The sequence below is a fragment of the Homo sapiens genome, chromosome 5, assembly GCF_000001405.40.
Source record: "Homo sapiens chromosome 5, GRCh38.p14 Primary Assembly".
Lineage (NCBI taxonomy): Eukaryota > Metazoa > Chordata > Mammalia > Primates > Hominidae > Homo > Homo sapiens.
Window position 1 is genome coordinate 118503530 of NC_000005.10, and position 26510 is coordinate 118530039.

The following is a 26510-nucleotide window of genomic DNA, read 5'->3' on the forward strand; positions in this document are numbered from 1 at the left end:
CATCCTCCCAAGTAGCTGGGATTACAGGCATCCACCAACACACCCAGCTAATTTTTGTATTTTTAGTAGAGATGGGGTTTCACCATGTTCACCAAGCTGGTCTCAAACTCCTGACCTCAGTTGATCCACCCACCTCGGCCTCCCAAAGTGCTGGGATTACAGGCATGAGCCACCACACCTGGCCAGGGAAAGATATTTTTCTATCAGTAAAAACTATATTCAACAAAGAAATCCTACCCTTGTGACGTAGTTTGGATGTTTGTCCCCGCCCAAATGAATTGTAATCCTCAAAGCTGGAGGTGGGGCCAGGTAAGAGGTGTTTGGGTCATGGGGGTGGATCCCTCATGGCTTGGTGCAATAGTGAGTGAGTTCTCTGGAGATCTGGTCTTTTAAAAGTGTGTAGCACTTCTCCCCCCTCTCTCTCTTGCTCTTGCTCTGGCCATGTGAAGTGCCTGCTCACCCTTCACCTTCTGCCATGACTGTAAGCTTGCTGAAGCCTCCCCAGAAGCCAAGCTGATGCCAGCACTAAGCTTCCTGTAAAGCCTGTAGATCCATGAGCCAATTAAACCTCTTTCCTTTATAAATTACCCAGTCTCAGGTATTGCTAGCAATGCAAGAATGGCCTAACACACCATCAAAGGTTAATAAATCTGGCTCAATGCTTTGTTTCAAGTCCTCTATCAAAGTTAGAGTTGAGAAATCATCAATGTGTGTGGGTAATCTATGCTCCAATAAGTACTGAATCACAATATGGGGAAAGTTTGATCTTTAGACTAGCTTTAATTGGGGCTGTTAATTTATTGGTTTGGCCTGTTTTAGAGGGTGGTCTTAATATTGCCCACATGGTCTGGTTTCTCCTTGCTTTGGCAAGGAGCCTGTCTCCTGCTCAGCAAAGATGCCTGCTTTCCTGTAGACTTTTCCATCTAATAGTCTTCATTAGTTGAAGAACTATGGAAAGCCCTCAATCCTTCCTTATCCGGGCTCAACCAGCTGATCAGGACATTTTTCTTCTTGAGAATCACTGTAGCCATCCTCTTAGAACCCACGCTGAAATGCAGGGATGATCAGTTCTTGTATTGAGGCATTAAACTAGCACAAAGCAAATAGGAGGGAGAAGATTGGGAGTTGCAGCTCTATTCCTATCCCATTTTCTCACAGCAACTCAAGGAGGATCCAGACGGTTAGGATTTAAGACTTGGGAGAATTCCCCCTCTGTATGCTTCTTCCTTCACTGACTCCCTCTTCTCCCCACCTCTTCCACATAATCTTCTCTCAGCCTATCTATGAGCAACTGTCTCCTGATAAGCATCCTACCTCCTTCCTCCAGGAAACCCTACCCTGCTTCATTTGAGTAATATCAGCACTCGATTCCTAATTGTTTCTTGCAAATTCTGATGGCTTCAACCTCAGTTGGAAGTTCATGTAGATTTTATTCTGCTTGAAGCTTTTGCTGGCTCCAAAGAAGATGGATGAGCTCTGGTACTGTAAATGTGTAAAAGGAATCAGTATGTAGTCTGATTTTGTTTGATGCCCACTAATGGAATGGAAACTGAATACAAAAACAAAAATGGCCAGACCACATATAAAATAGAACACTCACCTGCAATCTGCAAAAATCAGCTCAGGAAACTAATCCATTATCTATAGTAACCAGCCAGGAAGTCAACCAACTATAAGTCAGACTTGTAGAAAATCAAACCACTATCTCTAGCAGCCAATTCAGGAAGCCAAACAATAACCCCAGTAATAGCCCAGAACTTGATTAAAAACTGACTGCTTCCCTAATTTTTGTTCTTGATTCCAACTTAGAATCAACCAGAGAAAGCCAAATAGGCACCCCCAACCAATTACATACGATCTCCACTTCTAGTTACCTGCCTACAGCTTCCCTCCCAACAACCTTCAGTCAGGGAATACCTGAGTCCTTCTCTTTTTTTTTCTTCTATAAAACTTTCCCACTCTTCTGCTGCCTTTTGTTTCTCTGCCAAGATGCAAGTGATGGTGGGTGACTCCCTAGTTACAGAAAGCTCTAAATAAATAGTCCTTGCTTGTTCTTATTTTTTCCCTAACTAAGGGCAAGCACATCTTATAAGCTCTAAATAAATAGTCCTTGCTTGTTCTTATTTTTTCCCTAAGGGCAAGCACATCTTATCCAAGTAGAAATTAATTAATTATTAATTAATTAATTATTCTAGGGATGCTCAATGTACTCGTCTCACATGAAGACAATATACTCCTCATATCTAGATCATTTTAAAGCAACTTCTTTAGAATCTTGAGAAATAACAGGCATCATTTTGCTAAAGGAATACTTGACTCTTACTTGTTTCTGCTTTTATGGCCAGGAGCCCACACATTAGCTGAGAATGGCTCTGTGCAAGTCAACCAGGATAGATGGCACAATCTCTCAAAAGATCCTTTAGGATCCTAAATAGGAAGGAGGGTGGTTCATATTTAATTCACATTTCTCTAATATGAAAGCAAAAAACTTTTTGAAAAGTCATACAAAAGTCATATAAAGGAAGGTAAAAAATCTGAAAGACAAGCATTTACCTAAAAGAGACTCTTCCACAAAAGATACTATTTATATCCAACCACTTTCATTATTATTGAATGCGGGAGCAATAAAAGGGTTCAAACATTTCAAGGGTTTCTATAATTTGCAGAAACCATTTGGCAACCCAAGAAACAAGAGACCAGAAGATTTACAAGACATTACTTGGTTCATTTACAGAATTAAATAAAAAACTGTAAATCTTTAAATTATTTAAATTATATGTGGAAGTAGGAGCCTCATATTAAGCATAAATTTTACCACCACTGTGACAGTGTCTGAAAAGTCGGCTGGAAGGGCCTGCAAATTACACATTTGCATAAGGAATAAAGGGCACTCCCAAGACCAAATGCACACAAAAATGTATCCTGGAAGAGAAAGCATGGGTCGCAGGCTTAACCCAATAGCAACACCCCAGTCACTGAAAGAGGAACAACAAGCTTACATTTTTAGCATAACAAAATTGTGTTTGCCCTCTACTGTAGCCCAAAAATGGAACTGAAAGAGTGGCAAGTTAATACAAAATAAGCTTTTTACACTCAAAAATTCCCAAGAGACTTTATGAGAATATGACTAGTACACTAGGGAGAAAGACCTCCTTGCCACTTCCTGATAGCCCAGTGCGGGCAGGGCCCTGCACATCATAAGTGCAGCCATGACAGCTAAGAAGCGGCCACAAGAGAAGGCATGGCCCTCCCCATTAGCAGTGGCAGCACAACTACAGCAGTCAGGTTCCCCAGGGACCCAGCACCAAGCATTTCCAGAGCAGCAGAGGGCAACCTGTTCTCTTTTTTTCTTTCTTTTCTTTTTCTTTTTTAAGACAAAGTCTCGCTCTGTCACTTAAACTGGAGTACAGTGGCATGATCTCGGCTCACTGCAACCTCCATCTCCTGGGTTCAAGCCATTCTCTTGCCTCAGCCTCCTGAGTAGCTGGGATTATAGGAACCTGCCACCATGCCCAGCTAATGTTTGCTCTTTTAGTAGAAATGGGGTTTCACCATGTTGGCCAGGCTGGCCTCCAACTCATGACCTCAGTCGATCTGCCTGCCTTGGCTTCCCAAAGTACTGGGATTACAGGCATGAGCCACCGTTCCTGGCCTGGCAGCCTATTCTCAAGTGACTGGAGGCAGTATCCTTGACAAGAGCATCATCACCCAAATCACCTGCATCCACATGAAGGGATGTACAGGGCTTTTCAGGTAGCAAAAGATAAGGAAGTGGGTTGGCCACATGCTCACATTGTTTAGAGGGATATGTGAGGAAGAATCATAGAAATAAACGCAGAAAACTTTGAGTGGGGTTAGAGGCCCCAAATCAAAGATGAAGATGAGAGCCAGAACAAGAGTACTTATTACTATTCATATGATCCCCATTTTTCTTCAAGGATGATAAGTGGTTTGGGGAACACGAGTTTCAGTTATATAATTTTATTTTCAGGGGTGCTATTTTGAAAATTTTTAAATAATAGGGTTTTTCTTTGTCTCTCCCCATTCTCTACCACCTTGAATCATGATATCTGGAAGCCTGTCTGCCATTATCACCCCAGAGAAAATTCCTTCCAGACTGGGAGAGAAAATAAAAGAAACCCTCTGTGGCAGGAAGAAAACAGGGAAGGAGAAGCCAAGCAGGAAAACACAGCCAGAGGCATGTGACCTACTTCCCAACTGAAGGTGAAAACCCTAGAAGACAGAGGTGATGGTGGGGTGGGGGGAACACAAGGACACTCAGGCAGTGGTTGGCCTCCTTTGGGAGGCCCAAGAAAACCTGCAAGCTTCTAGGAGCAGCCTGGCATGTGACTGGTGCCACATCCAGCATGGCACAGGAGTAAGGTGCCCTGGCAGAGAGGGATGAAAAAATAGATGAGCCTGAGGTTCTGCTCCCGGCTTTCCTCCACCTTCACATGGCTTCAAGGGATCATGGAGTTCTGCATATCTGGCGGACAGCATGCCCAGGCACTCAGAGACCTGCTGGATTGGCAGAGACATGGAGTCAGGACATGCTGAAGTAGGCAGGATTTCTTAATCAAAAGAAAATGACCAGATCGCAGATTTCAGCAATCAGTGACAACACCTATTTCTAGAACTCCAGGTGGTATGAGAGGCACTTCAGTGTACAACAGGCCTATCAGAACAGGGAGGATCCAGAGGATACCTGGCAGACAATGCAGTCCCCTGTCCCAATGATATGAAATGACAGAAGACCCTCCTCCTACATATAGCAACATGCCATCTTAGAAAGGAGCTGGAGGAGGGAGCAAAAATCTGAAAATGGAGCTTTTACCTGTAAGAGAATAACATACAAAAGAGATCATTAAGGAGACAAATACTTTTTTGGCACTTCAGAATTCCCCTCTTCCACCAACATTGACCCCACCCTACACATATACCTAAAGGGGACAAGCCTCATGAGAAAATTATATCAACTGCAGGAAAGGCATAGTTTTCACTTTATCTTCACATCCAAGTTGACCCCAAAAATTAGTATTCTAAAACTCCCTCAAAATGTTATATATCTTCAACATTATCATGTCTGTTTATGAGAGAAAATGTAATTGTCATGGAGGGGGAGAAGAAGCAAAGAGAAAGAAAGTTCATGAGACAAAGGGACTGGTCTGGAAATTCCCTGCTTGGTCTGAGGACTAGTCAGTGGACATGGGAGAAAGTTGAAGGAGAGGGCATGTAGAACCATGGGGAGAGAGCCACACCAAGATGGCTGAACACAGTCCAGCATGTCAAAGAGAGGACTAATGGTGTGAATGAAGAATACAATGGTACAGCAGGAGCCGTCAGCATTAATTATGACAAATCTATAACTGATGGAGATATTGGCATTTTCAGAATGTATCTCCAATGTTGTGATGCATCTGCTACTGTGCCTTCAAATGACAGCAAGAAAAATGGTGAGGCATTTTTTCCATACACTGCATACTAAGCTTTGAAATTCAGTATTATTTCAGAGTCATAAATTATTGACTCCTGTGGAGTTTGAGGCACATGAGTTGTATAAAAAATGGAATCATGACAGAAAGATCATTCTGATTCTAACTTATTACAGGTCTATATGGAGTTATTTACAATAAAGAAGGTGCTTGTTTCCAGTAAAAGCCTAAAGTTTTCTTAATGCCATTTTTCAATACTGCACTGGCTTCGATGTGGGACAGAGTAGAATTATAAAGAGTTTGTCTTTGGAGGGACACCACAGAGATCTGGAAGAGTTCTGCAAAAGATCCCCTCAAAATAGTCTGCCTAAGCTCCAACTGTTGTCTAATTATGCTTAAGTATTGATGTTTCTGAGTTTCCTAATCTAAACCTATGCAGAGTCCATTCTTTGATGGGCAGCAATTCTGAGTGTCTCAATAAATTGATGTGCAGATCTTCTGGAACAGTATTTGCATGAGGAGCTCCCAAAGGGAGTGTGAGTCAGGCAAACACCATTGTGCCAGAGACAAACTTCAGCCATGGGAGAAGATTGAGGATTCTGAGTGCAATCTGAGGTCCCTTGGGTTTGCCCTTCAGTCCAGCAGCAAGGGTCTATGGCAAGGAGGGAGAAATTGGAAATAAAAGTCAAAAGTCCTGTCTTGCTAAAAGCATTCAAATCAGAACTCATAAGAAACTGGCTAATTTTTTATTAGATGGTTTCTTTTATATAAAGATAAATAATTTTAATTATTTCTTTGTGATAACAGTTCCACAGAGAGGAGAAAAGCATTTTCTCCAAAATTGTTCCTGGAATTGTTGAAATTATGGAAACACAGCCTTGGCCCCCAAAACTCCAACACATCAGCAAACGGAGAACACCACAGGCCCCAGCAGAAGTGGCAAAGACGTGCAGGCTGGGTATGGATTCCTGACAGAGTCGGCAGTACACAGGGGAATTAGAGATATCCAGCAGAGGGGGCATCAGTACCCAGAGGTCAGTATGTGACCACTGTCTGGCCATGTTCATAAACACAACTGAAACATCTTGAGGACTTTAGATGTAACCAGTTGGGTAAGAGAAAGGACTTCACAGGAGATAGAACTCCTGAATTGGCAGAATGACACAAAAGCCACATAGTACAGGTTATTACCATTAATATTGTTAACGTCCATATATAAGATTAGGTAGGTGTAGTTGGGGAACATGAATTACATAGAAGTCCAAGGCAAATTTCCGTAATTATCCTGAGAGTCCCAGGGATTCTTAACCTGAGTCCAGGATCCCTAAACAATCTAGATAATATTTAGGGAACACTCATGTTTTTGTAAGAAAACCTACATGTTTTCAAAATTCTGTGTATGTGTCTTTATGGATATTTCTTCTGATGAAAATGTTCATAATTTTTATCAGATTATCAAATGGGACTCTGACCCCAAAAATGTTTAGAACCTGGAATATTTCCTGCAGCATCCCAAATAGATATCTCATTTCTTAGGACCCAGAGGAGAGAGAAAATGATCTTGTTTTTGTTTGGCAGGGCAGTGGGTGGGGGTTGGTCCACTCTGAGAGCTCTGGACTTGTTTTCAAAAATCTGTGATCAAGGATAACTTTGATCTTCGAAATATTTGCCCCTGCAATGCCAGAAACTCCCATCTAGGTAGTGGGGTCATATATTTCTCTCTTCTGTCCCCGACTTGCAGTACAGAGCTATGTTCAGTCTACCCAAAATAATCTCAACAGAGTCCAAAAGACAACCAATGCAAATTGCAAGAATATTAGCCATTTGCACATCATTTATTAGCCTTTCATTAGAATTTTTCTTTCACTGAAAATGGTGGAAACCAGGGCTGAGTGAAGACATTAAAATCAGGCTCTGTGTACTTACTGAGAAGCACAGTCTGGATAAGGAGCTAGGATACTGGGCGTGCTCTGATGGACATTCTTTATTGGCAAGGACACAGAATGGGAATTTTCAGTTTTGTGGTCACAGCACTTCAGCTGATAGCAGAGAACCATCCATGTTCCTGATGAGATGTATAGGTACTATCTACGTGCCTTGGGACTAAAAAGAAAAGAAAAAAGGCATAAGGGCATGGTTAAACAGATAAAAAAACAGACTTTTTTTTCTTCTTCTCATGACCATATTCTAGCTCTCTTCACCATTCAGTTGGGCTATTTTATATAAAGATAAATCCAATCAAATATTTAAGAATTACCAGTTGGTGACCTTAACTTCGCATCATTAACCTTGTAGGTGTTTCAGTTCTGCTGAGATAATTACCAGGAGAACAAGTTATAAATATAGGTTATTACTTCTGTAAGCAAAATCCACTGCAAAGGCAATTAGTTCTGAGACAAATTACCTAGGGAATCCACCAGATCCCTAAGGTCCTTCCATTATGTTCACTAGTCAATATTCTAACGTGAGCATTAAATCAAAAATTTACGTTGCCAGGGACTTCTCTCCTCAGAACTTTAAACAGTGTCTCAGAAATGCACTATGCACACTAAAACCTACATCAGAGATGGTAATAAAAGCCTAATCTCTTTAAAACAGGAAAAACAGAATTGGTCACTTCAAAAATTACCTTGTGATCTATGGTACTGGGATAATCCAGAGAATCTTTCTGACATACAGGGCCACAAGCGTACCAAAAAGGGGATTTTCAAAGGACATTTATTCTTGTTAAACTGTTTTAATGACAATAATTACTTATAATGGAGACACTTAACCACTAATGGTGGGATAATCTCAAGATATAACTGAACAGTTTTAGAAATTTAAGTCAAAATTAATCAATCTATCTAATTTTTATTAATGGAAGAAGAAAAAGTTCTCTGAAGACCACACTTTCTTATAAGGCTGTAAGTTTAAGGCAGCAGTATAATTAGAAAAAAAAAAAAGTTTATTAAAGGGCTAGCAATTATCCTCAAATTAAAACATTTACAGCCTAGAGCTGTAATTAGGGCAAAGGTAAAGGAGAGATTCACAAAGCAATCCTGGCTGCTTCTGACTGCTCCTTGGATGCTGTCTTTGCTAATTCATTATCTTGATTCCACTGTTAATTATGTGGCTCCCCAAGGCTTGATAATGACTCTTTTTCTTCTTTACCTTTCCTTCTATTTTATTCATTGCCTTATATGAGTTTAACAATTCTGATAGAGATTGAGCTAACATTGATTGATACCTTCTGAATGCTAAACTCTGTGCTAGGCATTTTTGAAGTTAACCGCAAATATAATATGCCTAATTTCATTGATTATTCCTTTCCACCAAACAGTTCCGCATAATATTCTAGGCTCTATCAAAAAACAATTCAGATGTGGTGCAGTAGGGAGATAACTGAAAGTGAAGGGGTAGGGTTCTTGTCCCAGCTCTGTCACTGATGAACTATGTGGTCGGGAACACGTCACTATATTTCTCACAGTTTTAGTAAATAAAGATCTTGAACTAGATCAAGAGCTGGAAACTGGTTGTCCACTGGACAAATCCAACATGCAGACATATTTGCTTGGCCTGCATAATGATTTAAAAATCTGGAAGATTATGTAAAACTCTAGATTTCTGTCTTACAAAAGTAGAATATCCAAGCCTGATTTATTTGATGGCAATAATTGACTGCAGCCAAGCAGCAGCTGCCCCTTTAGGAAAGGCCTATATTCTCCTGTTTCTTACAATCCCCAACATACCCTATTGTATTATAAGTATTCCCCTTTATTCATTTATTTTATAGGACTTACTTCTTAATCAGATGGCCAACTCTAGCAAAAAAATGCTCTGGTTTTACTTCTAAATGTAGCTTATAATTTACTATATTTCTGGCTTCCTCCCTATCTTAGTTCAGGACCATAAGCATATATTTGAAGTCTATCTCAAATTTTTCAGTATTAATTAAATTCATTTCTTTCTTTGAGCTACTCAAACCTTTCTAAATTCCGTTTGACAATTGACATCATAGCTAAACCCCCAAAACTTTAAAATCTTGTTTTTACTTTTCTCCATACTTGCAAATGATATATAAGCTTATATATTTATATATCATATATGTTTTCCATATTATAATTCTATTTATATAATCATATTTATTTAATCATATTTATATAAATATGATTATATAAAATATATACATATTATATGATGTATATTATGTATTTTATATAATATATATTTATAAATATACTTTATAAGTTTATATATTTATAATATATAATATAATACATATTACATATATTATAATTAATCATATATTATAATTGTATTATATATTATATATTATTACATACTATATCATATATTATATTAGTAATATATTATCTATTATGTATATATGAATAATATTGAATATATTATTAATTTATTACATATTATGTATAATTATATTATGTATAATATGTAATTATATATTATTAAATATATTTTTATATATTATATATCTTATATAATATATTATACATTATATATTATATATTTTATATAATATATCATATGTTATATATTATATGTAATATATGATACATTATATGTAATATATCATATACTATATATTATATATATAATTTATATTATATATATTATTATATGTTATATAATATGTAATAATATATATTATTATGATATATAATACATAATATATAATATGTTATAATATATGATACATAATATATAATATATTATAATATATGATACATTATATATAATATATTATAATATATGATACATTATATATTACATTATATATTATAATGTATATATATTATATATATAATATAATATATAATATACATACATATATGTATATTATATAATAATATATAATAATATACATACATATAATATATGTATATTATATAATAATATATAATAATATACATACATATAATATATGTATATTATATAATAATATATAATAATATACAATATATTATAATTAATAATTATAATTTATAATATATATTATAATATATAATACAACCATAGAACCATTAGAGTCCTTTATATTTAAATAAAAACAAATATAATTTATACTTCTGTAGTAGAGATATTAGGTGCTTTTCCAATATCCATTCACCCATTATACACCCAGAGGAATATTATATATTATAATATTAAACATAGAATATATACATATTAAGCAAATGATATAAACCCTTTCTCAGAAATTACAATTTTCATTCTTTTATACCTAGGTTGTTATAGTCAGAAAGAATAAAATAAAGAATATCTTAGAAAAGAATAAAGAGTATCTTAGTAGAAGAAAGGATATCTTAGAATATTCTTTCTAAGCCTCTCCATAACCAATTCATACATTGAAAATAAGAACATTTACATTCTTTATAAACCTAACAACTTAGTTCATCTCCTGAAGAGCAGTCATGGGTTTTAAAGATTGTCATAACAGAGACTAAAAATGACTCTCCATGAACCATTCACTCCTGCTTGCTTAGTTACAAAACTCTGACTTTATTTTGGGTGTCAAGGCAAGAAGCTGAAAAACTACACTTCTCAGATGCTCTTTTTTTACTTTAATTTTTTAATTGATACATAATAGATGTAGATATTTTCAGGGTACCTGTGATAATTTAATACACTCATGTAATATATATAAAGATCAATTCAGTAAAACTAAGATATCCATTACCTTAAAATTTATCTTTATGCTAGAAACAGTTGAATTATTTTCTTCTAGATATTTTGAAATACATAATAGATGGTTGTAAACTATTGTCACTCTACAGATCTATCAAACACTAAGTTTTATTTCTTCTACCAAACCGTATAATTGTACCCATTAATCAAACTCTCTTTTTCCTCTCCCCTCCCCGCACCCTTCCCATCCTCTGGTAATCACCAATCTACTCTTAATCTTCATGAAATCACTCTTTTAGCTCCCACATGTGAGTGAGAACATCTGATATTTGTCTTTCTGTGTTTGGCTTATTTCACTTAACATAATGACCTTCAGTTCCGTCCATGCTGCTGCTGCAAATTACAGGATTTTATTCTTTTTATGGCTGAATAATATTCCATTGTATATACATATAAACCACATTTTTTTTTACCCATTCATCCATTGATTGACACTTAGGTTGCCTCCATGTTTTGACTACCATAAACATGAGAGTACAGATAGTGCTTCAATATATTGATTTCCTTTCCTTTGAATATGTACCCAGTGATGAAATTGCTGGATCATATAGTAGTTCAATTTTTACTTTTCTGGAAAACCCCCATTTCATAGTGGCTGTGCTAATTTACACTTTTATCAATAGTGTATAAGGGTTCCCCTTTCTCCACAGCCTGTCTTTTGGATAAAAGCCATTTTAACTGGGGCGAGATGATATCTCATTGTAGTTTTGATTTGCATTTCTCTGATGATTAGTGATATGGAGCATTTTTTCATATACTTGTTTGTCATTTGAAATTCTTCTTTTTAAAAATGTCTCTTCTGGCCGGACACAGTGGTGGCCTGTAACCCTAGCATTTTGGGAGACCGAGGTGAGCAGATCACTTGAGGTCAGGAGTTCGAGACCAGCCTGGCCAACATGGTGAAACCTTGATTCTACTAAAAATACAAAAATTAGTCAGGCTTGGTGGCACCCACCTGTAATCCCACCTACTTGGGAGGCTGAGGCAGGAGAATCGATTGAACCCAGGAGAGAGAGGTTGCAGTGAGCCAAGATCGTGCCGCTGCACTCCAGCCTGGGTGACAGAGCAAGACTCCTTCTCAAAAATAAATAAATAAATAAATAAAAATATCTGTTCAGATATTTTTGACTACTTTCAAATAGGATTCTTTGTTTTCTTCTGTTGAGTTGTTTTAACTCCTTATATATTCTGGTTATTAATCTCTTGTCACATGGGTAGTTTGCAAATATTTTCTCCCTCCTGTGGACTGTCTCTTCACTTTGTTGATTGATTCCTTTGCTGTGCAGAAGCTTTTCAGCTTGACATAATCCCATTTGTCTATTTTTGCTTTGGTTAGTTGTCTGGGCTTTTGAGGTCTTACTCCAAAAAAATCTGCCCACGTTAATGCACTGGAGCATTTCTTCAGTGTTTTCTCCTAGTAGTTTCATTGTTTGGGGTCTTAAATTTAAGTCTTTAATGCATTTTGATTTGATTTTTATATATTCTGAGAGCTAGGGGTCCAGACTCACTCTTCTGTATATGGTTAGCCAGATTTCCCAGCACCATTTATTGAATAGCCTGTCCTTTGGCCCTATTGTATGTTCTTGGCATCTTGAAATTGAGTTGGCTATAAATGTATGGATTTGTATCTGGGTTTTCTAATCTATTCCATTGGTCTGGTCTGTGTGTCTGTTTTTATGCCAGTACCAGGCTGATTTGGTTACTATAGCTTAGTATTATATTTTGAAGTCAGGTAGTATGATGCCTCCACTTTACTGTTTTTGCTCAAGATTGCCTTAACTATTCAGGGTCTTTTGTGGTTCCATATAATTCTTTTGTTTTTCCTATTTCTATGAAGGATGTCATTAGTATTTTGATAGGGATTGCATTGACTCTGTAAGTTGCTTTGGTTTGTATTGTCATTTTAACAATATTAATTTGACTTCCTTCTTTACAATTTGGATGCCCTTTATTTCTTTCTATTTCCTAATTGCTCTGGTTAGGACTTCGGGTATTACATTGAATAAAAGTGGTGCAAGTGGGCATGCTTATCTCACTCCAGAACTTAGAGGAAAAGCTTTCCATTTTCCCCTTTTTGGTACTATGTTAGCTGTGGGTTTGTCACATGTGGTCTTTATTATTCTGAGGTACGTTTTTTCTATACCTAGTTTGTTGAGGATTTTTGTTCATAAGGCGATGTTGAAATTTATCAAATGCTTTTTAGCATCTATTGAAATGATCATATGGTTTTTGTTTTTGGTTCTGTTAATGTAATGTGTTACAGTTATTGATTTGCATATGTTGAATTATTCTTGTATTTCTGGGCTGAATACCACTTGATCATCGTGAATGATGTTTTTAATGTTGTATCAGTCTGTTTCTTTGTTTTGTTTTGTTGCATTGCAATAAAGAAATACCTAAAGCTGGGTCATTTATAAGGTAAAAGATTAATTGGATTATGGTTCTGCCGGCTGTACAGGAAGTATGGCACTGGCATCTGCTCCTGGTGAGGGCCTCAGGAAGCTTCCGGTCATGGTGGAAGGCAAAGAGGGAGCAGGTGCCTCACATGGCAAGAGTGGGAGTGAGAGAGAAAAGTGGGAGATCCCTGACTGTTTTTAACAACCAGATATTGAGAGAACTAACTGAGCAAGAACTTACTCCTCACCAGAGTGAGGGCACTAAGCCATTCAGGAAGAATCCACCCTATGATCAATACCTCCCACTATACCCCGCCTCCAACAATAGAGGTCACATTTCACCATGAGATTTGGGGGGAACACATGTCCAAACATTATCAAATGTGTTGCTGGATTTGGATTGCTAGTATTTTGTTGAGGATTTGTGCATCTGTGTTCATCAATGATACTGACCTGTAGTTTTCTTTTTTTGTTGCATCTGTGTCTGGTTTTGGTATCAGGGTAATGCTCACCTTGTAGAATGATTTTGGAAATATTCCGTCCTCTTCAATTTTTTGGAAGAGTTGAGTAGAATTGGTATTAGTTCTTTAAATGCTTGATAGAATTCATCAGTGAAGCCATCGGATCCTAGGCTTTTCTTTGATGGGAGTTTTTTTTGTTATGGTTTTGATCTTGTTGCTTATTTTTTTGTTGTTACTGTTGCTGAAGTTTTCTACTCCTTTATGTTTCAATCTTAGTAAGCTGTATGTTTACCAGAATTTACCCATTTCTTCCAGGTTTTCCAGTCTGTGGGTGTACAGTTCTTCATAATAGTCTCTAATGGTTCTTTGTATTTCTGTGGTCTGAGTTATTATGTTTCCTTTTTCTTCTCTGATTTTACTTATTTGGGTAATCTCTCTTTTTTTAATTAATCTAGCTAAAGGTTTGTCAATTTTGTTTATCTTTTCAAAAGAACAAAACTGAGACTAAAAAACACAATCTAGCATATCAACAAAAAAGTTGTATTTTTTTTTAAAGATAAACAAAATTGACAAATCTTTAGCTAGACTAAACAAAGGTAGACTCTCGTCTCTACCTGGCCCATCTTCCTAGTACAGGTTGAGCATCCCTAATTTGAAATCCTATATCTGAAATGCTTCAAAATCTGAAATACTCCTAAATCCAAAATGTTTTGAGTGCCAACATGATGCCACAAGTAGAAAAGTCAACACCTGACCTCATGTGATAAATGCACAAAATTATTTAAAATATTGAATAAAATTACCTTCAGGCTTTGTGTATAAGATATATATGAAACATAAATGAATTTTGTGTTTAGACTTGGGACTCAACCACAGATATCCATTCTATGTATATATATGCAAATATTCCAAAACGCAAACATTCAAAAAATCCTTCTTATTTTCTCTATTCAAATCACAATGACCATCCTTTTCTCAAAACTCTTTATATTTCATATTGTCTATTAAGACTTTCTCCATTAAGAATATCAAGCCCTTGCCACCCCACTTACCCAGGAACCCCTCTGCCCCTCATATTGCAAGCTTCTTTCCTAGCTTTGTTATCACTGGGGCTGAAATGTTTTACATAATGGATCAGAATCAAAAAGCAGAGAAGACCTTGGTATAGGGCAAGAGAAAGAGGTGGAAGCAATCAGGAAAGAGGTCAGGGAATGAAGAAGACTTCAGTTGCTTCTCAATTCACTGTAAGGAGTTTTGTTTTGTTTTGTTTTAACCCATGAAGACTCTTTATGCACTCAGGATCGAAAAAAAAACCATAAAGAGGAAGAATTTGAGGAAAGATCATTCCAATTAAAACAGTCTAACTAGGATTAAAAGAGGCACTTTTAACACATGGAGTAGAATGGAAACTGCCCCTACAGGGCATTTTTAGTATTCCTATAAGGTTTAAAGTTGTCCTTCAGTCCGGTACATAGATTGAATCTCGGCTCAACTCCCAGAACCAACACCCATTCTCACAAAGTCCATGGTCTATAGGAGAATATCCTTAGGCCTGTCTTTGCTCATCTTATCACCAGAGTCTTAAGAGTTTACTGAGCTCAATATGCTTTCTTTAAGTCCTACTTCTCAGGTCATCTTTAGTTTCTCAGAAAACCACGAAATGCTTACCTATAGGCAATAAGAACAATGTGGCTGCCTTGCCTTTAACTTCTTCTCGGCCCTGCCTGCCATTCTGATCCCATTATAATAAAATCTATTACAGAAATCCCTTTCAGCATCTCTTATATTTAAAAGCAGTTACTGTGTTGCCTGCCAGCCAAGTAGAATGTCATAAAGGCCACTATCAAAGAAGGTAAAATGATAAAACAACATCCACAATAGAAAAGGAAAAACTAATGAGCCACTGACCTTAATACATTTATGTATCCCAGGGTTAGTTACGTGAAAATCCTTGAAACTTCTTTGAGTTATTAAAGAGACAATTTATTGGTTGAGTCATTAAGCCTTTTTAAAATACTCTTGGGGGGCAACATAGTTACTATGTCTTGGAATTTTATCCAGATTGCAAAAGAGCATCAGGGTTGAATATGAAATATCAGGATGTCTCAATAGGGATAAACCCAGCACAGAAAATATGAAGGTGGGGATGGTCAGAGAACCAGGCCACAGGTGGTATCAAGCAGGCTGTCAGCAAGTAGCCAAGCCCAGCCATGTTTTTTTGAAACTCTCAGCCAAGACTCTAATCACTGGCAGGGTGCATTAGTTAAGCCTTTTGCAAAATTGAAGATACATAAAATTCAATGCAAATTTGTTTAAGCAAAGTAGAAAATAAACTGGCTCGGAGTTGGCTTAAGACATGGCTGCATGAAAGGACCCAAATGATGTTACCAAATATTCTCCATCTGTCCTCCTCTGCTTGGCTCTACTCTCCTCTGTATATTGGCTTCATTTTTTAACAGTTACCTTCAATGTCACAGAAATGGTTGCTGAAGCTCTAGATCATGCAGCTTCTTCTATCTTAGCCTGCATAAACTAAAGCACGGGTTTCTTGGTAGATCCTACAAAAGTGCTCTCCTTCTGACTCTGATAGAACCTGCCTGTGTCACATGCCTAGCCTTAAACCAATGACAAGGGCTTGTGAAACATGAATGACAGAACTGGGTCATGTGTTCCATCCCTGCAAGTGGGGAAGGCATGGGATGCAGTTACTGAAGAAGGCAAAGTGGGTAAGTGACACCTATAAATACTCCTGGGCCCCAGTGCTGGGAGAGTGAGTATATGGACAAAAAAAAAAAAAAAAGATAGGAGCACCCAGAAGAGCAGAAGACAAAAATCATTTTGTCAAAATTTTCCACAAGATTGAAGCCTAGTTATTACAATAGTGACAAAAAGTCAACAGCAGAGTAACAGCAAGAAGTGATTTAGGTAAAACTCCAAAACTCCATGATGTAAAGGTCAGGATCTGTCTTAGTTTCTCGTAAAGGTATGGTCATGTACCCGATTTATGGCAAGAGGAGCACTTCAGAGGCAGGCCTTATATTCTTCTGCTGAAGACTCAAACTGGGTCCCAAGTAAGAAAGATTAGCTTCATCCAGTTTACTTAAATTTCTTGTCAATGAATATGAGGACACAGTGCCCAGCCATTCAGTTTTTATGACCCATGGAAAAGTCATTCTGAAGAAAGCAATGGTTCCATGCAAGTTCATGAAATTGTAAAATCTTTGCAAATTCTGCCCAAACTACAAGATAATGAATAAACAAATTAAACCAAGCATAGGAGAGCAACTGAATGCCTCAATTTGGATTCTGAATGTGTGTCTTATCCCAATTCCTACCCAAAGATGCAAATCAAAAGCTTGAGAGAAAAGGGCACTCAGTAACTGGCCTTGTGTGTGTCAGCTGGGGGCTGTCTAATAGATGATGACAGCCTAACCCCCCTCCTGGACAGCATCATGACAGGTCTGGATACTTGAAATCATCAGCTTCCAGAGGTGAGGCTCCAAGCAGCTATTGCCAGGCATGAGCAAAACACAGACTCATGTGCAGCAAGCAGCATGCTACACCCCAAGAGCGTCAACTGAATGGGACAGGGAAGGGGGTGAGTTGTGTTCAGATCCTGATTCCCACACTAAGCTCGAATCTATCATAAGCAAGTACATACTTACTGCCAGCAGAGCTTTCAAGAGCGCTGTCAGAGAGTTTTGTTTTCCAGAGCTCTTCCCACCTGGACCTTCTGTCCTTGTTGGAACAGATTCTCTAACTCTCCATGGGATAAGGCAGGTCCTTATTCCAACCAGTCACAGCTGATTGCACTTCATCCCACAGTTCTACATGGAATATCTGAATAACAAACTTATGTTTAATTTAGTATTCTCATTCTAACTAGATTTGGTTTTATATACCTAGATTGGTTTGAAAAATAGAGTAGTCTTACCTTAAATCTGAGTATGATCTAAGAATGTGCTAACATTCCTTGTCCAAATATCAATTTCCTGCCATGCTTAAAGTTGGATCTGTTTCCAAAATCCCTTGTAAATTTAAATTATTTAGTACATTTATTGATTAAAACATTAAAGCATGTATTGACATTTAATATGAATGAGTTTACGTGTTATACCACCAAATAGGTAGCATATTCATTCAAGAGAGAAACAGAAAATTAAATAACTTTTGCACCTGCACAGCACTTGGAGAAGGGCCAGTGACTTTCCTTACTCCTTACCTGAACCCATGTGACCACCATCTGCATTCTCTGCTTTATTCTGGGTTCTGGAATCAATCTCCTTCTTAGACAGGGTAACTGTTGTAAGCTACGCAGGCCAGTACTGAAGGGTCAGCATCAAATCACACTTGCTGTTAGTCCCACTCCAACCCAATCAAGTAAGCAGCCTTCCAAAAACTATACCCAGGCTGGATCCCATACCCCTGACTGAATCTCTAGGTAAGCAATATGTCCTATGCCTTGATTCCTCTAGACTAGAAGCCCTGTCCTCTTCTTGCCAGTCACTTCCCCAGTTCCTGGGGACTCAGTTTTTCTACCATAAATCAGACCTCCTTGCAGCTCTTCAAATGCTTCCTCCCAGACACCTCATTGTTTGCTCCACCTCTCTGTCAGTATAATCTTCTTACCTCTTTTAGACAGCCCGATGCCTCTGACTTGCTAAGAAACCACTTGCATCCACTTACCAATTACAATATGCTATAGGATATGTTTCATCCACCTGGTTTACCTTTCTTGCTCCCCTAAAGGGTGGCCAGGGCCTGCCCTACCTATGGCTGTGAACTCTGCCTTTCCTGGCCACTTCACTACATACAGCTCATTTTGTATATAGCAGGTACTCACCAATGGCATTTGTTTGTTTTGTTTTGGTATCTTGAAATAATTAGTTGAAAATGAGAAAATGGTCATCTCATTCTTAGCCCGAATGTGCAGTATTTCCAAATACCTGAAGCCAAGCATTATTTTCCTTTTCAGACAACAGAAAAACATATTAGTTAATTTCTTGTGCCAACACTAAATTTTCCCATCATGCAGATCAGCATTCTTAAGCTTTGCCACTGAAAAAGCCTTTGCTTCAGAGGACATTATTCCTGTGTCAGACTTGCTTCCCGACATGCTGAAAGTCCCTTTGAATTCAAATGTTTTATCCTAAAAATAAAGATTTAGTTTCTACCTCATAATATATACTTTTTTGCATTTTAAAATACTTAATTACTTACCCTCAAGTAGAGTTGTAGCTACTTCAAGAATGTGGATTCCATTTATTCTGTGGTTTCATACATCCCTTCATACATATTTCTGTTTCCACAGCATGTACTCATGCCTTAGGCTGATAATCCCTGTAGAATGAGATTAATATTCTTTTCAGAAGAAAATCTTATGATCTATTGGAATGAACATAAATATAATTGACAAAGTCTGCCTCCTTTTGCCTCCTTAAAAAAAATAGCATATTTTCTCTTACTCCATGTCCTCTATGAAACAGGACAGTTATATTTCCCTAAGAATGCTATGAAGTTGAAAAGCTTCCTTCTGTTGAAGTTTCTAAAGGAAAATAGCTATTCTTGGCTACCTCAAATAAAATGAAATATGTGATGTTATTTTTATTCCTAACTTTACTGAAAACGCATTAAATCCATGTACTAATTTTGGACCTACATCCCTATCTATAATTAGTAGTAGTAATATCAATACAGGCTTTTTAAAGCTTTTTAAAAATATTTAATCTTTGGCTCCTACCTTACAGAGGAAAAAAATTTAAACATGATATATTTGAAGTAAAAGTCAACTTTACTGACAGATTAAAACACTTTTTGAAGCCCATTAATTAGAAAATTTTTATGTCAATTAAGATCTTTGAACAGATAATATAGTCCAAAAATGTTACTTTAATGGGAATTTGATGAACCTTTACACAGAAGACTTAAAACAAAACAAATGTCAATTGCTCTGGGAGTGTAGTTCTTTAAAAATGAATAGACAATTTCTATTACACAGTAAAGTTTTACAAAACTGTAGCATGAAAAGAAGTATTACAATTTGGTGGAGTGGGAAGAAAGGCAGGCTAGCAATCAGAATGTCACATTTCACAATTCAAGAGATCATAGTCCTGGAGATTCCTCCAGTCCTTGTTGGCCTTACCATGTCCTTGAGCACTGGATATAACCCTCTTTGCAGGAAAAGGAGAAGAGAGAAAAAAAGGCCTCTTTGAAAAGCAGTAGTAAAGGAGTCCCTGGAGTATTTCTGAGCTCTTGAAACAAGCTTCATGGCAACAGCTTGATTCTGCTTCGTGCTTCGGTGAAGGATGCTGAAATAGGAATTGGGAGTGAAGCACTGAACTATTTGCAAGTTCATGTTAAAATATGATTTCCCGGTTCAAGAATAAAATTGATTCAGAATTAAATCAAAATAGTGATTTAAAGGTTCCCTACAAAAGAACTCGGTGCATTAAATAAGCACCAACCACCTTTGTTCTTACAAGTAGTCTCATGCAGGAAGATGTAGAGAAGATTCCATCATCTCCAATGTTGGAGAGAGAAAAATGTCTGCAGAATACAGTATCTCACCAATGGTCATAATACCGATGTCATTAAAAGTTACATATGGAAATTTCTTCTCAGGTCAGTATCCAATCATCCATATTATACCACTTACAGTTTATTTTTAAATTTTAATAAATCAGTATAATGCCTTCTTTACTGTTATAAAATTCCTTTCTCATTCCAAAGTACATACCCTAAAAACAAACAAGCCTGAAAAACAGACAATGGGGTGAGTGGCGGGGGGGGAATGTATAATGTATAAAATAGTATAAATTTCTTTGTGTCAAATATTTCATACAGATACTACCTGTATCTGTCTTTAGGCACTTTTAATGTGTGGCTCTGTGTTCTCTTATTCACTTCTCAGTTCCCATCAATTGTAAGACACAGCAACTTAACAACACCTTTTGGGGGAATGGATACACAATTAAATTTAAAACTAACTGATAAATACTAAACAACTAGTAACCCTTTTATTCTTCAGTATCAAGATCAGTTCGATCAGTAATAAAACTCCTAATGTGAAAATGAACAGAAAACCATTCATAAAGAGCAGTGTGGATATTTTATATATAAATTAGCTCTGTCTCACTTATAATAAAAATAAATCTAGAAGATGCGTTTTACATTTAAAAAGTCAGTTTGAGTAGAAATGCCCTTCCATTTCAAAAGTCTAAAGATTCTTCATCATCACTTTTGGCCATCATACCATCATGATGCCACACTTTTTAAGCCATACTTTCAAATCTTTTTCTATATAGCAACTTTAGTATTGATAGTATAATTCCAAGTGTTTACTCTGCGCTTCTTATGTGATCACAATTGTTGGGTTTTTTTAATTTCCTTATTGAATTAGTTACTAAAAGTCAAACAACTTCTCTTGACTGTCACCTGGAAGCTGATGATGATGGTGGATATTCAGTGACAGCTCTTCATAAAATATGAATTGTTCCTGAAAACTGTCCTAGCTTGTGATTAAAAAAAAAAAAGAAGAAGCTTTATCCACAAGTGGTAATTTCCACCACCTAATTCTATTGCCTGGGATTGGACAGTCATCTGCATTCATGTTCTTATTCAGTGCTACACCATGGTATGACATTTTCAAAGGTATTTACATGGCACATGGTGTTATAAGTACCAGTAACATAGCTGAGGGACCATAAAATTAACTGATACCTTCTGTGCATGAAAAAGTTCATATATTCACAGAAAATGTGCCCTAAGTTTTAGTCCTCTTATTGTTAGCTAGGTAATTTATTTTGATATTAATAAAATATAATAGAAAGTCTCAGTTCCAGGAACTACTCTGAAACATAGACCTAAGAGGAATTCACAGGGGCATTACACAAAGTGACAGCATTTTGCTAATGGACTGTTAGCCATAGATACCCTCTACGGAAGACTGACTGGCCTCTATCTGGCAAAGTTTTTCTTGTTGTTGTTTGTTTGTTTGTTTTTTAGGGGGTGCAATAGACGGATTTCTAAGGCAGCCTCTTAAAAATGCCCTGCCCTACCCCCCAGAAACTGTGACTACAGGATATCACACACGAGTATGTTTGTTACATGACAAAAGGGACTTTGCAGATGTAATGAAGGCCACTTGTCAGTTGACTTTAAGATGGGAAGATTATACTGGTTTATCTTGGTAGGCACAATATAATCACATGAGCCCTTAAAACCAGACAACGTTTTCTGGCTTATGACAGGGAGGAAGGCAAAGGGAAAGTCAGAAAGAGTCAGAGCAGAGGAAGAATTCAGTGTAACACTGCTGGATGAAAGATGGAGGGGGCCACATGAGAAGGGACTCAGGGGGCCCTTGTAGCAGACAGTGGACCCTAGCTGACAGCCAGTAAGGAAATGGGAATCTCAGTTCCACACTGCAAAAAAAAAAAAAAAAAAAAGATTCTGCCAACAATCTGAATAGGCTTGGAAACTGATTCATCCCCAGAACCTCTCAGAAAGAGTCCAGCCTGACGGAAACCTTGATCTGGCCCTTGGGAGACCCTGAGCAGAGAACCCTATTAAACCTACAAAGATTCTGACATACAGAACTGTGGGTGTTGTTTTAAGCCAGAGTGTTTGTGATCATTTGTTGCCGCAGCAGGAGGAAACTAGCACAGGCAGACTGCACATGGAGCAGGAGGAGAGGATGGAGACTGTAGTCCAGACAGCCTGAAAAGATAGTGTAGTCCAGTTGATCGAGGGGATGATTGGTGTCCTAGCTGTTTCACCTCTACCTACCAGACATAGAGGTAACAACATAACCTGTGAGATATGCATGTGAACCATCAGAGTATAGCTATCTATATATATAATTAAGGTTTTGTAGGGTTTCTCTTTTTAGGAAAGAAGTATAAGCAGTTGTTCTTACAAATCCGAATTTTAAGTGATATTATTTTTTAAAAAGAATTATTCCTCATCTAGAACTTCAGAAGTCAAAAAACCTTAAGATCCACATCAAAATGGTTTTAACGGTGTTTTTGCCTAACTCAGTAAACATAAAATTCAACATATCATACATCATGCCAGGCATTTTCCCACTTTCTCAATGATTTCTGTCGATTCAGTTTACTCATACCTACATTTTTCACCCAAAACAACTATTCCCTTTTCTAAAAGAGTGGACATCTGCTCACCTCAAAAACAACTATTCCCTTTTCTAAAAGAGGGGACATCTGTTCTTATTCAACCAGTATTGATTAAATGACCCTATTAGATGCCAAAACATTCTACTATTAATAAAAACTGATCGAAGCTGAACAAGATATAATCCCTTCTTTCAAGGAGATTCAAGAGATCTAGTATGGAGGACGTAAAACAAGAAAATATTCACTTACTAAGCTATCACAGGTCTAAAGAAGAAACCTAGAAACTGGAAACTGGATGATAAATAACTTGTGGAGGTTTAAAGTGTCACAGTGCAGAGACAGAATGTGAAGCCTTGTCATAGCTGTATATTTAAGTTTTTAGTTCACCTTTAAAACTTTTCTCTAGATATACAAATCATGACAGATGTGATGAATAAATTCCACAAGTGAAAAACACAGGTGAGGAAAATACCAAGTGTTATAATTTCATCTATAAACAGCTCAGTCTAATCAAGAGACAAAATGGTCAGAAAGCATTTGATCTGTTTTTTTTTCTTGATATTATTAGTTCTATAGCTAATACAATGTTTTCAGAGCTGGGGTTTATTTTTCTGACTTGTGTTATTAATTTGTTAGTATAAATTTGCACCTGTCAACACAGATTTACAGCAATGGAACTACCTACCACAAACATTATAGGCTTCAAGGACACTCAGTTAAGAGCTTGAAACACTTAAATTGCTTTAACACTTGCTACTATATTTCAGTTTTACTTATATGAAAACATAAATAGCTAGAGTCCTGATAGAAGAAAAAATTATTTTGGTAATACTTCTGATTTTCCTCCCGATTTTTCTTTCGAATTCCAAGGTTATTTTCATCTGTGAATCACTGCTTCCAAAACCAAATAATGATGATAGTAACTCTGCCCACATGGGGATATGGCAGGAAACAGGGCTAAATTTCACTTCCTACCATAGAGCAGTTCAAACGCAAAAACATTTGTATGCTTTGAAGTCATACCAACTCAGATCCTTTGCAGAATTTTTTTAGTAAATGCACTAAAAAGGGAAAATTTAAAAGGGGATTCATGTGCTTGGAATTGAACTGTGACATTAACTGAAAATATGAAATGATTCCTGCCCACAAGAAGTATTCAAGGTAGTTGACAGTAGAACAATACACTGAGTTTGACTGTAGGGACTACCTTCCATTCCCACTGCTCCTCATCTAATCCAGGCCTTCATCATCTCTTGCCAGGACAACTGCAAAAGTCTCTCAACTGCCCACCTGTCTACTACTCAAACACCTTTCAAATAGTATCCATCCCTGCTGTATACAGACTTAATCAAAATTCTTTGTTTGGATTATATTGCTTCCCTGATTAAAAGCATTTGATGGCATAGAAATGAATAAAATTCAAACTCAGTAAGCACTAAAGAAACCTATTTCCTGCCTTCTTCCCAACTCTCTCTCTCTCTAGCCTCTTCTCTTTAACCCCCTAGTCCTGCCATTTTAATGCATGATCCAACCAATCTTAGCTTTTTTGCCTTTATGCACCACACCTGGCTGTTTCATACCTCCAATGCCTTCTTGTTGCCTGGAGTGTTTTCTCTTCCACTCCCACACACTCTTACCCCAGTCTCCACAGGTAGAAGAGACCATCTCCTCCTTTGTGTTGCCTCGGTATCCTCCATAGACTTCCTTCCATCAGACCTTTGTCATCCAGGCTGGAGTGCAGTGGTGCCATCACAGCTCAGAGTAATCTCAAACTTCTGGGCTCAAGTGATCCTCCCGTCTCGGCCTCCTGAGTAGTTGGGACTACAGGCATGCACCACCACTATGTTTGGCTAATTGTTTCATCTGTTAAAATCTGTTGAGCAAACAAGGTCTCACTATGTTATCCAGGCTATTCTTGAACTCCTAGGCATAAGTGATTCTCCTACCTCTGCCTCCTAAATTGCTAGGATTATAGGCGTGAGCCACTATGCCCCGCCACCATCAGACCTCTTATAATGGATTTGGAGATACCTTTCTTTTCAGGTCTATACTCTATATTAACCTACAATAAGGCAGGGGTCATGTCTTCTTCTTTGTATCTCTCAGAACTGTCTAACTGTCTTCAAGGACATTAAAACATTGCTAGAAATAGAAAACCCATATATGAAACAACTACAAATACAAACAAACAGTATAAAAAGAAATGTTAAAGTATATGTATCATGCTCTGTCCACATTGAAAGTTCTATGAAGTCACAAGGTATGGTAGAAAGAGTTTTAGTGTTAGACAGACGTGAATTCACATCCTGACTCTTCCACCTCCCAGGTGTGTGAGCATACATACCTCAGCTAATTTCCCAATAGTGCCCACCTCACTGAGTAGCTGTGTAAACATTAGATGAGATGTGACAATCCATCACAGTAGTTGCTAAGAAAATACCTATTCTCATACCACTTCACTGAGAAGGGAGAGTGACTATATGTACCAAATTACTCAAGTATAACTGCTTAAAGTAGGTGAGATTTGAGCTTGACCTTGAATAGAAAGAAGAATTTGGACAGATAGATTTTTATACAAACTGCCATCCATATGGAGAAATCACTGTAAAGAAGGCAGCTGACCTGCTTAAAACTCTTCCCAGATGTACCTAAGACCCAGCTTTCAGATGCTCTATCACTCCCACAACTCATCTCTCAGAGCAATGTGAGAGTCATTATACATGAACGCAATCCAGCTTCAAAACTCCTTCGTAAATTAGAGAGAAAATGTAAAATAGTAGTAATGGTATTTAGAAAAGATTCATTATTTAATGAAAGAATGTTCCTAAAAATGATATTGAGCTGTTCACTTGTTTGCACAGAAGTACACATTAGACTAACAGACATCAGAGCTGGCACGACAATATCTACCAACATTCAAGCAAACACAGGGTAGGTAATAATTTCCATGTGTGGATGGTTCCAGTGTTAACAAAGCAGTCTAAAGCAATCTCATTTACTTTTATGGTTAAGTATTCAAGACGCATCTTTTTTTTTAACATCCGAATGTTTTCATGGCTGAAGGGAGACCAGTATAGCCTGGAAAACAATTTACAATGATGTGTAAAGTAGTTACATTTTCCAACAAGTCTGTTTCTTCAATTATTCCACCTATATTAATAGCTCTTCATGGCATTTGATAGATAATAGTCCCAATGCAATCACCCACTTCAGCTGGAGAAGAGCAAGTGCTATCCAAATAGAAAGAGTCCAAGTTTGCAGTTGATTACAAACTCAGGCCTTTGTGCAGACCATTCCCAGCACCGGCTAGCTGTCACTGAGAAAGGGTGCTGTTGGCAGGCTGCCCTGCTATCACTCTAACGCCAGTTCATTCTGTTTCAGATCTGCAGCTAGGTTTGTGCT

The 26510-nt window shown here is 37.3% G+C and overlaps 1 long non-coding RNA gene across 1 annotated transcript in view; it reads right to left on the reverse strand.

Moving 5' to 3' along the window:
- Positions 1-26510, reverse strand: part of LINC02208 (long intergenic non-protein coding RNA 2208) — a 211152-nt gene that overhangs the window by 152564 nt on the left and 32078 nt on the right. The window contains exons 2-4 of the long non-coding RNA NR_104610.1: positions 20120-20285; positions 17643-19317; positions 7359-7535 (exon numbers count right to left, since the gene is read on the reverse strand). This is a non-coding gene — a long non-coding RNA (long intergenic non-protein coding RNA 2208). The remainder of the gene's footprint in view (positions 1-7358; positions 7536-17642; positions 19318-20119; positions 20286-26510) is intronic.